This window comes from Homo sapiens, chromosome 3 (assembly GCF_000001405.40).
Source record: "Homo sapiens chromosome 3, GRCh38.p14 Primary Assembly".
Taxonomy (NCBI): Eukaryota; Metazoa; Chordata; class Mammalia; order Primates; family Hominidae; genus Homo; species Homo sapiens.
Genome location: NC_000003.12, coordinates 183,445,111 through 183,462,791, shown reverse-complemented (window position 1 = coordinate 183,462,791; position 17,681 = coordinate 183,445,111). Strand labels below are relative to the sequence as shown.

At 40.6% G+C, this 17,681-nt stretch overlaps 1 long non-coding RNA gene and 3 other non-coding genes across 5 annotated transcripts, besides 1 other annotated feature; all 4 read right to left on the bottom strand.

The window, feature by feature from the left end:
- On the bottom strand, nucleotides 6,779-15,184 carry SNHG33 (small nucleolar RNA host gene 33). Of its 2 annotated transcripts, none has more exons than NR_038302.1 (4): nucleotides 15,027-15,184; nucleotides 10,280-10,714; nucleotides 8,699-8,780; nucleotides 6,779-7,593 (listed from the first exon to the last, which is right to left on the bottom strand). It is a non-coding gene; the product is annotated as a small nucleolar RNA host gene 33 (long non-coding RNA). The 2 variants fall into 2 exon arrangements; NR_038301.1 differs by having other exon boundaries at nucleotides 14,845-15,141.
- SNORA63E (small nucleolar RNA, H/ACA box 63E) lies at nucleotides 8,846-8,978 on the bottom strand. Its single transcript, NR_145763.1, has one exon. It is a non-coding gene; the product is annotated as a small nucleolar RNA, H/ACA box 63E (small nucleolar RNA).
- Nucleotides 10,060-10,225, bottom strand: LOC124900564 (small nucleolar RNA SNORA81). The gene has a single exon (XR_007096340.1). It is a non-coding gene; the product is annotated as a small nucleolar RNA SNORA81 (small nucleolar RNA).
- Nucleotides 10,802-10,933, bottom strand: SNORA63D (small nucleolar RNA, H/ACA box 63D). The gene has a single exon (NR_145727.1). It is a non-coding gene; the product is annotated as a small nucleolar RNA, H/ACA box 63D (small nucleolar RNA).
- Nucleotides 14,982-15,517: an enhancer, noted in NCBI's record as "H3K27ac hESC enhancer chr3:183165063-183165598 (GRCh37/hg19 assembly coordinates)". NCBI's record gives its function as "activates a minimal SCP1, AML or CMV promoter by ChIP-STARR-seq in naive H9 embryonic stem cells {active_cell/tissue: H9 hESC(naive)}" and the evidence as "EXISTENCE:reporter gene assay evidence [ECO:0000049][PMID:30033119]".

Below are 17,681 nucleotides of genomic sequence, written 5' to 3'. Positions count from 1 at the left end.
TCTTGACTCTGAACCTTTTAGAGTTCAGTACATGCTGCAAATAAGTTGGATTTGTTTTTCCACTGACAATTTTTATTTTAAAAGAGGAAAAGCTGTGTTCATACTAAGTTTGCTTTTTTTTTCTAACAGTTGAGGCTTGAAGGCATGATGCAGCTGGAAACATTATTAAAATGTATTTTATGGTATGCACATGTATGCATATACTTATGTAATGTCCATATATCACAAATTAATAAAAATGTTTGTGTTCATAAACATATGTAATGGAGACCTTTGCATCATTTTGATCTGTAGAACACAGACAAATGTTCTTAGCCTATCTCAAAGTTCTATGTGTTTACTTATTATTTCTGTACATCATTTTCAGAAGAAAGGTTTGTTTCCATAATAAAAGTGAGCACTTTGGCTTATGTAGAACTTAGAAATAATTGTAAATTTTACAACTTAATATGCACTTCATGGTGAAATTTCTCATCCTAGAGATTCGCAAGCAAGTAAAAACCAAATTCAGGCCAGTGGTGTTAACTAGTTTCTAAAATTTTATTTGTTTTTATTTGTAACAAGTCTTTTTCTTAAGGCCCAATTAATATAAACAGAATCTTCATAGTTTAAGGGAAACGCAGAGATTTCTGCCGTTGTATTTATTTTATGGACTGGATAGCAAGATTTTACTTCTTGGAACTTATGGAAGCTCTTCAGTGGTCCTTGGTCCAGTGAAATCTTTTACCACTAAAAGAGCATTATTCTTATGTTATAGTGAGAATAATCATTAAATACTTGACCTAATAAAGGTCTAAAATACATTTTATTTTATGCATATTTTTTCTTGCTATAATGGGGACATTGTAAATCATGCATTTGTATTAATGACTTTTCTTTTTTTTTTTTTTGAGAAGGAGTCTCACTCTGTTGTCCAGGCTGGAGTGCAGTGGTGTGATCTCGGCTCACTACAACCTCTGCTTCCCAGGTTCAAGCAATTCTTCTGCCTCAGCCTCCCGAGTAGCTGGGACTTCAGGCATGCACCACCGTGCTCGGCTAATTTTTGTATTTTTAGCAGAGATGAGGTTTCACCATATTGGCCAGGCTGGTCTCGAACTCTTGACCTCGTGATCCACCCACCTCGGCCTCCCAAAGTGCTGGGATTACAGGCATGAGCCACTGCTCCCGGCCAGTGACTTCTTTTAAACTAAGAAATACATATAATTTCAAATTAAACCAACCTATAAATCACTGTAGGCACCTGCAGATTGTATTATAGGTACTATAAACTCTGTTGGAGTCTTTGAAACCATTCTTCCCTTGTCTTGAAGAGTGGTGCACATTCTTAGCCAAATAGCACTATGGTCCCATCCTATAAAATCCAAGAAGCCTGACAGCCTTCCTTCGTTTCTTCTCATCTCCTTCCCCTTCAGTTCAACTGGCAGAGTTTTTCTCACAACTGATTATTTATCATAACTCATTCATAAAATTCATTATTCATAATTAATAAAATTAATTATTTTATGAATGTATTTGTACATTGTTAAAACATTTTAAGATGTTTTGTTTGCTGTAGTCACACCTTTGAAGGTACATAACTTTATATTTGTATGCAACTATATTGTTTACAAAGCAAAAAAAAGGAAAAGAAAAAGCTGATATTGCCACTAAGTGACTGGGAAAGGTGATTCGGGTGAGGGCTCAAAAGGAAGCGAGGCTTGCTGGAGAGACGGCCTCCATCTTCTTATAGATACCTAGGTGATATGGTTTGGCTCTGTGTCCCCATCCAAATCTCTTGTTTAATTGTAATTTCCAATGTTGGGGGAAGGACCTGGTGGGAGGTCGTTGGATCGTGGGGTAGTTTCCCTCTTGCTGTTCTTGTGATAGTGAGTGAATTCTCATGGGATCTGATGGTTTAAAAGTATGTGGCACTTCCCCCTTCACTCTCTCCTGTTGTCACGTGAAGATGTGCTTGCTTCCCCTCCCCCTTCCACCATGGTTGTAAGTTTCCTGAGGCCTGTACAGCCTGCAGAACTGTGAGTCAATTACATCTCTTTTCTTTATTAACTACCCAGTCTCACGTAGGTATTTATAGCAAAGTGAGAATGGGCTAATGCACTAGATAAACATGAACAGATTTTTGGTAGAAATATGGACGGTACAGGTCATTCTGGTGAGGTATCAAATGGACATGAGAAACATGTTACTGGAAACCTGAGGAAAGGTGGTCTGTAGTATAAAGTGGCAAAGAACTGGGCTGAGTTGGGTTCATGTTCTACTGTTTTGCGGAATGTAGAACTTGAGAGCAATGAAATTGGATATTTGGCTGAAGAAATCTCTAAGCAAAGTGTTGAAGGCGTGGCCTGGCTCCTCCTGACTGCTTATAGTAAAATGCCAGAAGAGAGAAATGACTTAAAGACAGAATTTTAAAGCAAAAAGCAAGCAGAATTTAAACAGTTGAAAAATTCCCAGCTATCCATATTGTGAAAAATGAGAATGCTCAGAGTGTTGCCAAGCAACCATTTGAAAGGGAGATTAGAATGGATGTGAATCATGAATTTAATTAGTCACACCAGGAGAAAAAGTAGCAGTTGAACTGACACCTAAGAAGAATGTGTGGAGGGGAAGAAGATGGGAAGTAAGGAAGGAAGGCTGTCAGACTTCTTGGATAGCCAAATGGGACCATTTGGCTAGGAATGTGCACTATTCTTCAAGACAAAGGAAGAATGGCCCTAAAGGCAATTCAGGGACGATCAGAGCTGCCTTCTTGGTCTCAAAAGGGGGATCACTGGCTTGCTTTTAATAGGCCAGATTGCCTCTGTCCAAACCTGTGTGAACTACCTAGTGTTCTGGGGACAAAATCCCTGCCAAGTGGAGTTGTGAGAGCAGAAACGCCACCTCAGTGGGACTGAATGGCAAGACCTTCTCCCCAGTGGACCTGGAGGGCAGAGCATCAAGCCAAAGAGAATTATTCTTGAGCCTAAAGTTTCATAGAGTTTGTCTTACAGTTTGGACATCCTTGAGGCCTATTATAACTTTCCTCTTTCTTATTTTTCTCTTTTGGAATGGAGATGTCCATCCTATACCTGTTCTATTATTGTATTTTGGAAGCACATAGCTTGTTTTGTTTTACAGGTTCACAGCTAGAAAGCAATTTGCCTCAGCATGAATTGTACTTTGAGTCTCTCCCATATCTGATCTAGATATTTAGATAGGACTTTAGATTTTAGACTATAGAGTTGACCTTAAGATCATACTATGGAATGAGTTAAGATTTTGGGGGCTGTTAGGATGTAATTAATATATTTTGCATGTGAGAAGGACATGAATTTGCTGTGGCCAGGGGTGGAATGCTATAGCCTGAATGTTTGTTTCCTCCGACCCACCGAATTCAAATGTTAAAATTCTAACCCTCAGTGTGAGGGTTATTAGGAGGTGGGACTTCGAGGGGATGATTAGGTCAAGAGGGTTGTATCCTAATGAATGTGATTAGTGCCCTTATAAAAGAGACCCTGGAGAGCTCCCTTGTCGCTTTCATTATGCGAGAACACAGGAAGAAGGTGGCCATCTATGAACCAGGAAATGGGTCCTCACCAGACACCAAATCTGCTAGTGACTTGATCCTAGACTTCCCAGCCTCCAGAACTGTGAGAATAAATATCTATTGTTTGTAAGCCATCCAGTCTATGGTCATCTCTTACAGTAGCCCGAACACACTAAGACACAGGGCTGTAAAGGCTACTTAGTAAATTATGTAGTTATGCCTTTTCCTAATACAGCACGTTAGGGTTTGTTTGCTGGTTTTGCTTAATTTTGATTTAAAAAAAATTTTTTTTTGAGGCAGAGTTTCGCTCTTGTTGCCCAGGTTGGAGTGAACAGTGCAATCTCAGCTCACCGCAACCTCTGCCTCCCAGGTTGAAGCGATTCTCCTGCCTCAGCTTCCCGAGTAGCTGGGATTGTAGGCACCCACCACCATGGCCGACTAATTTTTTATTTTTAGTAGAGACGGGGTTTCTCCACGTTGGTCAGGCTGGTCTCAGACTCCCGACCTCAGGTGATCCGCCCGCCTTGGCCTCCCAAAGTGCTGGGATGACAGGCAAGAGCTACCACGACTGGCCTGTTTTGATTTTTTGTCTCATCTTTATGCAGCTCTCTCCACCTGTCTCCTACACTTTGTAGGGAATGGACATCAGGGTAGATGCCATTTCCTGCAGCTTATTCATTGGATCTCCTTTTGCACATTTATTTACTGAAGGCAGTGATAACTTTTAATTGATATGATACTTCCAAGGAGTCTAGCATTTACCTTGTGACAGCAGCAGTTTTATGGTGAAGAAAATGGCAAGCACCAATACTGGGACTGAGAAAGGACAGGGGCTCTTTCCCGAAATTCATTAACATATTATTTTCTAGGCGATACTATTTGGTAGAACATTCATTGCATGTCAGACAAGTTCTTTTAACAAATTATAAACTGTGGTCAAGACAAAACTTGATTTCTTTTTTTTTTTTTTTTTGAGACGGAGTCTCTCTCTGTAGCCCAGGCTAGAGTACAGTGGTGCAATCTCGGCTCACTGCAACCTCTGCCTACCCAGTTCAAGCAATTCTCCTGCCTCAGCCTCCCAAGTAGCTGGGACTACAGGCATGAGCCACCACACTTGGCTAATTTTTGTATTTTTAGTAGAGATAGGGTTTCACCATGTTAGCCAGGCTGGTCTTGAACTGCTGACCTCAAGTGATCTGCCCACCTCAGCCTCCCAAAGTGCTGGGATTACAGGCGTTAGCCACCATGCCTGGCCCTTGATAAATAATTTGAGTGGGAAAAATAAGAATCTGATGTCTGTCATCAAAACATGACAACACCAAATGCTGGAGAGGTGTGCAGCAACAGTACTCTCATCCACTGCTGGTGGGAATATAATAGCACAGCCAAGCTGGAGGACAGTTTGGCAGTTTCTTACAAAATGAAGCATACTCTTACCATATGATCCAGCCATCACGCTCCTTGGTATTTACCCAAAGGAGCTGAAAACTTATGTCTGCACAAAAACCTGTGCGTTGATGTTTATAGCAGCTTTATTCATAATTGCCAAAGCTTGGAAGCAACATAGATGTCTTTCAGTAGGCAAATGGATAAACTGTAGTACATTCAAGCAATGCAATATTATTCAATGTTAAAAAGAAATGAGCTATGAAGTTATGAAAAGACATGGAGGAAGCTTAAGTGATATAAGTGAAAGATGCCAATCTGAAAAGGCTATATACTGTAGGATTCCAATTACATGACATTCTGGAAAAGGGAAAACCATAGAGACAGTAAAAAGATCAGTGGTCGGCTGGGCGCGGTGGCTCATGCCTGTAATCCCAGCACTTTGGGAGGCTGAGGCGGATGGATCACGAGGTCAGGAGATCGAGACCATCCTGGCTAACACGGTCTTTACTAAATCCCGTCTTTACTAAAAATACAAAAATTAGCCGGGCATGGTGGTGGGCGCCTGTAGTCCCCGCTACTTGGGAGGCTGAGGCAGAAGAATCGCTTGAACCCGGGAGGCAGAGGTTGCAGTGAGCCGAGATCACGCCACTGCACTCCAGCCTGGGCGACAGAGCGAGACTCCGTCTCAAAAAAAAAAGAAAAGAAAAGAAAAGAAAAAATCAGTGGTTGCCAGGGGTTGCGGGGAGGGATGAATCAGTAGAGCAGAGGATTTTCAGGGCAGTGAAAATACTCTGTATGGTGCTATAATGGTGGACACCTCATCATAAATTTCTCTAAATCCATAGAATGTACAATACCAAGAATGAACCCTAATGTAAACTATGACTTTGAGTGATAATGACATGTCAATAGAGGTTCAGTGATTGTGACCCATGTACCATTCTGGTGTGGGATGGAGAAGTGTGGGAGACTGTGCGTGTGTGAGAACAGGGAGTGTATGGGAATTCTTTGTACTTTCTGCTCAGTTTTTCTGCTGGCCTAAAATGGCTCTAAATAATAAAGTCTATTGTTTTAAAAAAAAGATCACGTTCAATGTCAATTTTTCTTTTATAGGACCCATTATATCTACTCTGTGTTATTGTTACGGAAAAAAAAACTTTACTGATTAATATTAGTCCATTAACAAAGAAAACTTTGCTGTTATGTAACTACTTTGCATGTACCAGAAAATTTTTGCCACACCAGAAGAGGGAAAAATCTTATGTTCAATTGCTTCCTTTTTCTCATAAGAAGCAGATAATGCTTGGCAGACGGTGCTGATGAACACCCTCATTGATCAGTCTTTGTGCTAGTGCCAAGCAGCAGCTAACTTGGAACTTTTGTTGTTGTTGTTGTTTTGAGACAGAGTCTCGCTCTGTCGCCCAGGTTCGGAGTGCAGTGGTGTGATCTTGGCTCACTGCAACTTCTGCCTCCCGGGTTCAAGCGATTCTCCTGCCTCAGCCTCCCGAGTAGCTGGGATCATAGGCACATACCACCACGCCTGGCTGATTTTGTATTTTCAGTAGAGACAGGGTTTTACCATGTTGGTCAGGCTGGTCTCGAACTCCTGACCTCAGGTGATCTGCCCGCCTGGGCCACCCAAAGTGCTGGGATTACAGGCATGAGCCATCGTGCCCGGCCTATGAGCCACCGCACCCAGCCCAATTTGGAACTATTAAACCTTTTTATAAAAAGCCACATTTGTATGTAATTTTGTAACTGGAATAAAATATTTACTATAGAGTACTATTTCATTTCATCTTCTTCCTTTGCAAATATGGAGTTATGGCAAAAAGTATGATTTTTAAGGAATAAGGACCAAATCACTTTAAAGAAAAAATACTTTATTGTAATTTATTGAACCTTTAATATATAATATGGCAATTTTTCTGGGATTTAACTCTAGGACATGATTGCTGCTGGTATTTAGCAAAAGGCTCGGGTTCACACCTAGCGCTAATAAAATGCTTTTCTGAATAAAAACATATTATCAAACAAAATGAATTCAAATATATTCTTTAAAAAATTATTTTAAAGTTTGTTCTATTCAGTCTAACACAATAAAGGGAGATACCATGGTTTAACGTAATTAGCTGATTTTATACACTGCATATCTTTAAGTCCACTTAATAATAAGTATATTATTAAGTGATAGAGAACACTCAATATAGCGATTTTTACAGAACTAGGAAATAAATTTCTTTTTTTTTTTTTTGAGACAGAGTCTTGAGGAAATACATTTCTAAGAAGGATTTTTACAGACACTCATCTTTCATACCCAACCACAGGGTCTAACTCTAAACAGGATAAAACCAATTACTTTCGTCCCAAGAGCTCATGACTAATGACAGCGTAAATCTATGCTATCAAAACCTGCGTCTCTCATCTGTTACGAGTATTCAGGCAGGATTCAAATATTCTCAAAGAAAGAAACACAGTGCATGCTGTGATCGCCTGCTCAGCAACAACAAGCACTGCATCCCAAACTATCTCCTCCCAGGAATTAAATGAGGCCAGTTGTGTACACTGGCATTTCCTCCACTGTGGTACTGCAGAAGGTCTCAGTGTCACAAAGAATCCTTTTGTCTTCTTTAATATTTATGGTCACAGCTGTCTTCCCAAGTTGACCCCGACTGCCAGTTCTGAACAAAAGAAAACATATGAATCAGAATATTATTCAGCAAGTACTACGTGAACCACTGAACAATCTGAGCTACTAGTTAATCATCAGTGGCTGTTTATTTGCCAGAATTATATGTAGAGTGCTTCTAAATGGAATACAAGATACTGATCAAAATATCTAGAGAAAAACAAAAGATTTCTTTTGCATTTAGTATAAACGGAGTTAAGGCTCATCTGGCTGCGAAATGAACATTATTACTTATAAAGCAGATGAAAGTATTGGGTTTAGGGTAGTAAAATTAAAGCCCCTACCAAAGTGGGCCAGCCAAGAGTGGGTGTCATGTCAGTCTGGGACAGAAGTAAATACCAGGCACAAAACAAAAGGAACAGTTATGAATCCATTTTGATACACTTTCAGAATTAACTACAGATGCCAGCTCTGAAATGTTCACTGTTGTTTAGGACTATGCTGTCCAATAAATAGTCACTAGCCACATATGGCTATTTAAATTTAAATTAATTAAAATTAAATGAAATAGGCTGGGCGTGGTGGCTCATGTCTGTAATCCCAGCACTTTGGGAGGCCAAGGCGGGTGGATCACTTAAGGTTAGGAGTTCGAGAACGGCCTGGCCAATATGGTGAAACCCTGTCTCTACTAAAAATACAAAAATTAGCCGGGAGTAGTGGCGGGCACCTGTAATCCCAGTTACTCAGGAGGCTGAGGCAGGAGAATCGTTTGAACCCAGGAGGCAGAGGTCGCAGTGAGCCGGGATTGCGCCACTGCACTCTAGCCTGGGCAACAAAAGCAAAACTCCATCTCAAAAAAAAAAAAAAAAAGTTGCATTAAGCGCATTTCAATAGTCACATGTTATCTGTCACTCCTGACTCCTTCTGGGCAACAAGAACCTCAGATATGATAGTATATTTATGCTTCAAAAAGCAACTGCTGCATACTCTTCTAGGCCACATAAGAGTAATGAACTATATATAACAGCATAGTTCACTGTGGAGTGTGATCTTTATCCCCCTACAACTTCAGCTGGCAAAGTCTACTATAAACTTTCCCTCTAAACCAAATTTTGCTAGATAGATACTGTCATTAAATAAAGAAATGGAATACTTACCAACAAGTCAGTAGCAGTCAAAATATGGTTTGTCCTTTATCTGAATTCCCTCCTGATAATGTTTTCTTCCTTCTGTCGCTACCTGCAAAACACCACCAACCCCTAATTCTCAAGAGTCATTTGTCAAGTCAGTACTTAAATTGGTAAACATGTATGAGACCAAACATCCCTGCTGCTACAGCACCATGGCAGACAGGGCTTGAAAGGTAACAGTTTTATTTTGAGCAGGGGGCAAAGACAATGCAGCACTTCACAGCTACAATGTAACTAGATCCTGCCTCAGTTTACTAAGAAAATACAGTGGACCCTTGAAGGAAACGGGTCTGAACTGGGCAGGACCACTTACACGTGGCTTTTCTTCTCCTTCTGCCACCCTTTAGACAGCAAGACCAACCCCTCCACTCTCTCCTCCTCCTTAGCCTACTTGACATGAACATGAGGAAGATGAAGACCTTTATGGTGATCCACTTCCACCTAATGAATAGTAAAAGTATTTTCTCTTCCTTACGATTTTCTTAATAACATTTTCTTTTCTCTAGTTTCTTTTATTGTAAGAATACAATATATCATATGTATAACATACAAAATATGTGTTTAATCGACTATTATTAGTAGGGCTTCTGGTCAACATTAAGCTGTTCATAGTAAAGTTTTTGGGGAGTCAAATTATATGCAGATTTTCGACTGTATGGGGGTTGGTGCCCCTAATCATGTCGTTCAAGGCTCAACTATAATCAGATATTAATAGCATCTTAATTAGCAATACTAGGGAAGAGCAGCTCTTATCACACCAGAAACTGGCATATGCTGTTTCTTAGAAGCCCGGATACCTTTCACTCTGTGTTCTACAAGGAACAACCTGACTGGTCAATCTCTTGTCATAAAGAGCATACAATTTCCTTCCTTATAGTATTCCCAAGAAGAAAATGTTAATTCATGTCAGAGTTGGAATAAAAAGCCATTTGATTTCTATACCTCATCCCTACCATTGGAAGAGAATAGTTATTCATTGATTTTACTAATTCTGCTTAAATATAGATATTACTGTACCAAATCTTAGAACAAAGTACCCTGTTGTTAAAAAAGAGGTTCAACTCAGGCCAGGCACGATGGCTCACGCCTGTAATCCCAGCACTTCGGGAGGCCGAGGCAGGCAGATCAGCTGAGGTTAGGAGTTCAAGACCAGCCTGGCCAACATGGTGAAACCCTGTCTCTACTAAAAATACAAAAAACTAGCCAGGCATGGTGGTGGGCACCTGTGATCCCAGCTACTTGGGAGGCTGAGGCAGGAGAATCACTTGAACCCAGGAGATGGAGACTGCAGTGAGCTGAGATCGCGCCACTACACTCCAGCCTGGGTGACAGAGTGAGACTCCATCTAAAAAAAAGAAAAAAAAAAGGTTCAACTCAGTTTTTCTATCTGGTACAGCTGTTTTTTTCCTTGGGTTTTCTCTGATAGCTTTATTACAAATGGTAAGACACGATACTAGTTTCTGCAATTTTAGTACAGAGCTTAAACAAGAAGGTAAATTTTAAATCCCTGGCTATGGTTTTTATGTATATCAATTAGAAAAACATTACCCTCTTTCAAAATTATTGTAAAACACTGATTCTTTCAAGGGCCAATTCTTCCTTCTTCACCAGAATTTGAAATAGATCTGTCATGAACTTCTTGGTAACTTCCAACATATTAATATTGAGGCAGAAAGCAACACAATCTTTAAAAAGAGCCAATAACTGACCAGTCTCAGTGGTTCACGCCTGTAATCCCAGCACTTTGGAAGGCCGAGGCAGGCGGATCACTTGAGGTCAGAAGCTCGAGACCAGCCTGGCCAACAAGGCGAAACCAGGTCTGTACCAAAAATACAAAAATTAGCTGGGCATGGTGGCACATGCCTGTACTCCCAGCTACTACTCGGGAGGCTGAGGCACGAGAATCGCTTGAATCCGAGAGGCGGAGATTGCAGTGATCTCAGATAGTGCCACTGCACTCCAGCATGGTGATGAAGTGAGACTCTGAAAAAAAAAAAAAAAGACAATGACTAATTATATTGGCAAATCAATTAAGGAGATGTAATAGTTTCATAACAATACTTAGAGAAATAATGTTTGAGACCAAGCGTCCATGTCTTACTATAGAACCGAGTGAGACAGAGATTGTGGGAAACAATTGCTTTGAGCAGGGGGCAAGGACAACATAGCACTTCACAGCTATATTGTAACAATGAATCCAACCTGCCAGCTGGAGAAAACTCATGTGCACACATGAGTACTTGTATTTAATTTCTAGTAAATCTCATGGATTTGATCCTTAATTCCTTGGTTCAACATTTTTATCTGCTTCATCCAAAACAACCTGCTCCTTTTGAAAAGTTAGGAAAAAATGTTTCACTTAAGTGTGAGTTGGACATTGTGATATCCTTCCTAATAGTACAGAGTGGAAGGAGGGTAGAAGAGTAACTTTCTAGCACAGAACCCTTTCAAATACTACCTCAGCCATGTAATTAAGGTCAACAGCAACCATCATAACTCTCAATCTGATGTGATGAGAATCACATTTTAGGCTGGGTGCGGTGGCTCACACCTGTAATCCCAGTGCTTTGGGAGGCCAAGGCAGGCGGATCACCTGAGGTCGGGAGTTCGAGACCAGCCTGACCAACATGGAGAAACCCCATACAAAAAACACAAAATTAGCCAGGCATGGTGGTGCATGCCTGTAATCCCAGCTACTCGGGAGGCTGAGGCAGGAGAATTGCTTGAACTCGCGAGGCAGAGGTTGCAATGAGCCAAGATTGCACCATTGCACTCCAGCCTAGGCAACAAGAGCAAAACTCTGTCGCAAAAAAAAAAAAAAAAAAAAAAAGAGAATCACACTTTATATCTGTGGTCTTCCTCCCCAAAGCCCCAAATTCAAGTCTAATCCAGAGGAAAACATCAGTCAATTCTAACAGAAAGATATCCTACAAAATACCTGAGTAATACTCCTCCAAACTGTCAAGGTCACCAAAAATACGAAAAATCTGAGAAACTGTCACAGCCTAGAGGGGTCTAAAGAAACATGACAGCAAAATGGAATGTGGTATCCTGGATAAGATTCTGGAACAGAAAAAGCACTTTACATAAAAACTAAGAAAACCTGAATAAATTGTGGACCTTAGTTCATAATAACACATCAATGTTGGTTCATTAATTGTATCACACTGGTCGGGCGAGGTGGCTTACACCTGTAATCCCAACACTTTGGGAGGCCAAGGCAGGTGGATCATGAGGTCAGGAGTTCGAGACCAGCCTGGCCAATATGGTGAAACACTGTCTACTAAAAATACAAAAATTAGCTGGGTGTGATGGTGTGCGCCTGTAGTCCCAGGTGCTCGGGAGGCTGAGGCAGGAGGATCACTTGAACCCGGGAGGTGGAGGTTGCAGTGAGCTGAGATCATGCCACTGCACTCCAGCCTGGGTGACAGAGTAAGACTCCGTCTCAAAAAAAAAAAGAAAAGAAAAAAGAAAAAGAAAAAAATGGTATCATAATAACCATAATATAATTACACCACAAATTTACCATACTAACATAAAATGTTAATAACAGGAATAATAGGGTGCAAGGTATATGGGAACTCTTTGTACTATCTTCTCTGTAAACCTGTAACTTTTTTCTGGAAACCTAAAACCATTTTAAAAATAAAATAAAGTCTATTTTTCGAAAGTCTTAGTATCACCTCTAGATATTCATGTGTAGCAACTTGCTTCATTAGGCTATTTTCCCTCCCATATCCTAAATATCACTGGCTAAAAAAAGGCCTAGGAAAAATCAAAATAGACATTTCCTACATTATTATTCTGTGTTTAAGATGTATAAACAGGGAATAAGCTCTGCATTGACATCTCCAGGGAAGTTGTTCCGATATGTATTCACTGGTTATCATTTACCTTAAAGATAATTATCTTTCCAGTAGGAAACCATGACTTATACACAGCCTTGATCTTAATGAAGCCTATTGCTTTGTTAAAACAAGCTTTACTTCATAGCTAATACAGCAGTGAGCTCTGAAAACAGATAGCATGCAGATATCCCAAATGACAAAGATTCCCAACTAATAACACATCACTGCGGTTTTCATGTTGCACACTGCATTTAAACTTGACAACAGTGAACAGAAAAGGCATGGATCCCAGTCTACCCAGAAAGAAAGCTTCAGTTTGTCAGTCTGTTGAGATACAGTCCTATAAACCATATCTGCAACCCTAGTTTTTGTTTAATTTGAAACAAAAACTCCCTGCATACAGGGACAATAGTTAAAAAGAAGGTTCTGAATGGACAACTTTATACTAAGTCTTAAGTATGATGTTTTATATTTTTATAAAACCCGAAGTATCTGGGAAGTTAGGTCTCCCTGAGGGCAGACCTTAACTAATGACTCGGTAGAGACATAAACACACCAGCCTGCTGGTTCTCTGGTAAGGACGACTCCAGGGATTGACCATGCACACTGACTTAGAGTTAAGCAGCACTGAGCCACCTCCAGGGGAACAGGCTTAGAGCAGCTTGCTCACTGGCCTTCCTTCCCTTTCTATTCTATTTCTCTATTACCCTGTGATTTTTTCCTGGAAACTTTCTAATTATTTGCACAGGAATTCCTGTGTTAGGGTTTCCTTTGGGGCCCTAAGACACATGATATAATAAGTATTTTTAAACGGATGACTCTTATCTTTAAAAGCAGTATAACTTGCTACTTTTTTGACATATTCTTATGTAAAAGATAAAGTCACTTTGCCACTGCTGAATGTAAACAGAGAAAATTGATTTGGAAAAGTTTTAAAATTCAAATTTAAATATGAAAGATCTTCATCCTTTACCCGTGATACGTGCTACAGATATTTTCTCCCAATCCAGTTTTTTTTTTCAGTTGTCTTTTGACTTTATGATGTATTTGCCATGCTATTTGTTTTATGTGGTCAAATTTATCAACTTTTTATTTTATTGCTTATGGTTTTTTGAGTCATAGTTAGAAAGCCTTTTTCTTTTTAGTACTTGTATTGTTTCATTTTTCACATTTAGATCCCTGATCCATTTAGACTTCATTTTTGTTACGCTATAAGGTGTAGATCTAATTTTATCTTTTTCCAAATGGCCAACCAGTTGGCCCAGCTCTGTGTATTACAAAGCCCAACTCTGCTCCAATGATATGTGATAGCACCTTTATCTTTAACTTTCTACCTGCACTTGGGGTTATTTCTGGATTTTCTATTCTATTCTACTTGTCTTTTTATATTATTCACACACTAGTTCCACATCTTAATTATAGAGACTTTGTAACCTCTATAGTCATAAAACCTCTATGACTGCCTTCATAACCTGTATAATACAGTTTTAATTACAGAAACTAAAGACAAACATAACTGTAAACCAATATTGAACTCTGGCTAGTTGGTCTGTTTTTACACAGTGGTATGGGTTAGCAATTTTGAATCTACTTTTTGCACACGATTGAGCAAAAAAGTGAATATCTTGTGGATAAGGAGAGCCAGCTTTCTCACTCTCAGAAAACAGTTACAATTACAGAAAGGGCAAATCTGATTGAACCGTGAGATGCTGCACTGGAACTGAGTTAACAGTATGAAGTCAGCTGTTTTTTAAACATACATGTAGATAGATAGATATAAAACAGATATAGATGTGCCTGGATTGATGCATGTATGGATGTGTGTGGGGAGGGTGTGTGTATACATATAAATATACATGTATATATACGTACATACACACACATATGTACATAAATATGTGTGTTTGCATCTCTCTCTCTCTACATATATATATACATAAAATTTCCTAGCGTTGTCTGCTGAGACAGTCTAGAAGCGATGGCATCCTAGTAGCAACGAACACAACCTACAGCCCAGATACGGCTGTAAAATAGCATTCTCCAAAAAAAGGAACCAGGATTCTTTGGAGAAATGTCTGATTCCAAGGCAGGAGCTAAGTACAAGATGAGCCTGGAACATCTTGTGTCCTTAAACAGAGAATGACGGGGGGACATGTTAAAAGGACACGGGAACCAGAAGTAAGCAAATGAATAAACGGGGGAGAAAGGAAAGCGCTTCCTTACTATAGAAAAAGAGAAAACAGAAAAGCATTCTGTAGCTCGTACCGTGTGGGGGCGGGGGAAGACAGAGGCCTGGCTGCAGAAGGACGCCCTCTGGAAGGGGGACTGGAAGCCGAATCCCCTGACAAGCGGTCGCGGTCCTGTCTTTCCGCTCGAGCTTCGTTCTCCCTTCACCACCCACCCCGCGCCCCCACGCACCGATCCACCGCGGCTTTATGCCTCGTCACCTTGGCAACAGCAGCGGGCTCAGGCAGTGTCGCCACCAGTTTCTTGCACCCGCCAGCAGCACTGACGCTGCAGAGGTTGCCGCCATGTCCCCTCGGACCGGCCGCTTGGTGAAGTGCGGCTGCGTCTCCGTTGTCGTCCACATCACCTCCGTTCGGTGTAAAAGCCTCTTGTCCTCCTCTGGCCACCGTCCAGGTCTGAACCAAGAAATGAGCCAATCCCAGCGAGGCATTCGGGTGGGGGGCGTCACCGTTGAAACCACTCGGCTACAATCTGCCAATCGGGCTCGTGCCCGCGGGGTGTGGTCTCGGCCTCCGGGACCCTGGGGGTCTGCATCTACTCCGGGGTGATGTTGGGGGCTGGGAGGATCTGCTCTGTCCCCAGCCTCCTTAGGCCCTGGGTGTCCCTATCGCCGTTTCCGCCCAAGAACCGCAAGGGCCCACCCTATCGCAGGCTCCAGGGCAAGAAACCCTCCTCTTGACCTTCAATCTTTAGAGAACTGAGGTGAAGAAACGGGGCGGGAGACTGTCGTAGGATACAAAGGAGTGGAGAATAAAACAATGCAAAATTGTATAACATTTTCAAAATGTAAAAAAAAAAAAAAACTGATTAAGAAATCCTCTTAACCATCTCAAAACTGAGATTACTGAATATCTTAAAAATGAAAAAAAAAAGAGCAAGCTCTGCATATTAGTACCTGTGGGATATACCAATACAGTGCTTTTAAAAATTCAAAATAAAAGTAAATTAAATAATTCAGAAAAAATAGCAAGGTAAACCTAAGAAAAGCCGAAAGAAGGAATTCGTAAGAATAAAAGAAGAAAATAAAAAATAGAAATGGAAATGGGAATACTAATAAGAGATTTGAAAAAGGCAACAATAGGGTGGTTGGCTCAAGAAAGAAAGAGGAGCACATCAAAATACAAAATGATAAAGGGGAAATAACCATAGATACAGGAAAACTTAAAAGCATTGCATGATCAGTCAGTTCTACATAATAAATTTGAAAACTTGAATGAAATGGACAAGATTCCAAGAAAATATAATTTACCAAAACATTCCAGAGATAGAAATTCTAAGTAGACCAATTACCATAGAAGAAATAGATGTTGGCCGGGCGCGGTGGCTCACGCCTGTAATCCCAGCACTTTGAGAGGCCGAGGCGGGCAGATCACCCGAGGTCAGGAGTTTGAAACCAGCCTGACCAACATGGAGAAACCCTGTCTCTACTAAAAATACAAAATTAGCCGGGCGTGGTGGCACATGCCTGTAATCCCAGCTACTCGGGAGGCTGAGGCAGAATTGCTTGAACCCGGGAGGCGGAGGTTGCGGTGAGCCGAGATTGTGCCATTGCACTCCAGCCTGGGCAACAAGAGCGAAACTCGGTCTCAAAATAAAGGAAAAAAAGAAATAGATGTTATTAGAGAACTGCATTTCTCCATAGCTGAATCCACAGAAGCACCAGGCCCAAATTATTTCATAGGATAATTCTGTGAAAACTTAAGGAACAGAGAGTTGGTTGCTGTTGATTCTGCCTTAAGCACAGAAAAAAGAGGAAGCATTTCAAATTCTATTCATGAAGTGAGCATAACATTTATACCAAAGTCTCATAAAACACCCATACAGCATATACGTATACATTGACCATAGAAATTCTTACTCATGGCCGGGCGCGGTGGCTCACGCCTGTATCCTAGCACTTTGGGAGGCCAAGGCAGACAGATCACCTGAGGTCAGGAGTTCAAGACTAGCTTGGCCAACATGGTGAAACCCTGTCTCTACTAAAAATACAAAAATTAGCCAGGCTTGGTGGTGTGTGCCTGTAATCTCAGCTACCCAGGAGGCTGAAGCAGGAGAATCGCTGGAACTCGGGAGGTGGAGGCTGCAGTGAGCCAAGATCACACCACTGCACTCCAGCCTGGGAGACAGAGCAAGACTCCATCTCTAAAAAATTAAAAAAAAAAAAATTCATACTCATGAATATTACTGGAAAAATCCTAAATCAAATAAAAATTATAATAAAGTATTTCTATTTTACTAGAAATAGCTGGGTACAGTGGCTTGTGCCTGTAGTCCCAGCTACTTGTGAGGCTGAAGTGGGAGGATCCCTTGAGCCCAGGAGCTCTAGGCCAGCCTGGGCAATGTAGTGAGACCTCCCATCTCTAAACATCGTTATAAAGAAAAAGAAAAATTTGTCATCTCCAAAATGCAAAAAAGGTATTTGTTAAAATTCAACATACATTCTTGATTTTTAAAAAAACTTGTAAAATTCAGCAAATGATATTGACACAACTGGGTAGCCATCTAGAAAAAGTAAAGTTGGATCCCAACTCAAACTCATACCTCACATCAAAATAAATTCCAGATAAAGATTAAATGGAAAAAATGAAGTATAAGTGTACTTCATTAAATCCTCATACATTCTGTAGCACAGGAAATTTTATAAAGCAATACCCAAATGCCGTAAGAGAGAAAATGATACATTCAATTACTTAAAAAAATTTAAAAGCAGCAAAAGTACATAAACTAAAAGTGGCAGACAGCAATCTGGGTGAAAAATTGCAACTCATGTCACAGACGATGGACTAATTTCCCTAATACATGAGAAAGTACCTATAATTCAACAGTATTAGCAGCTCATTAGAAAAATCAACACA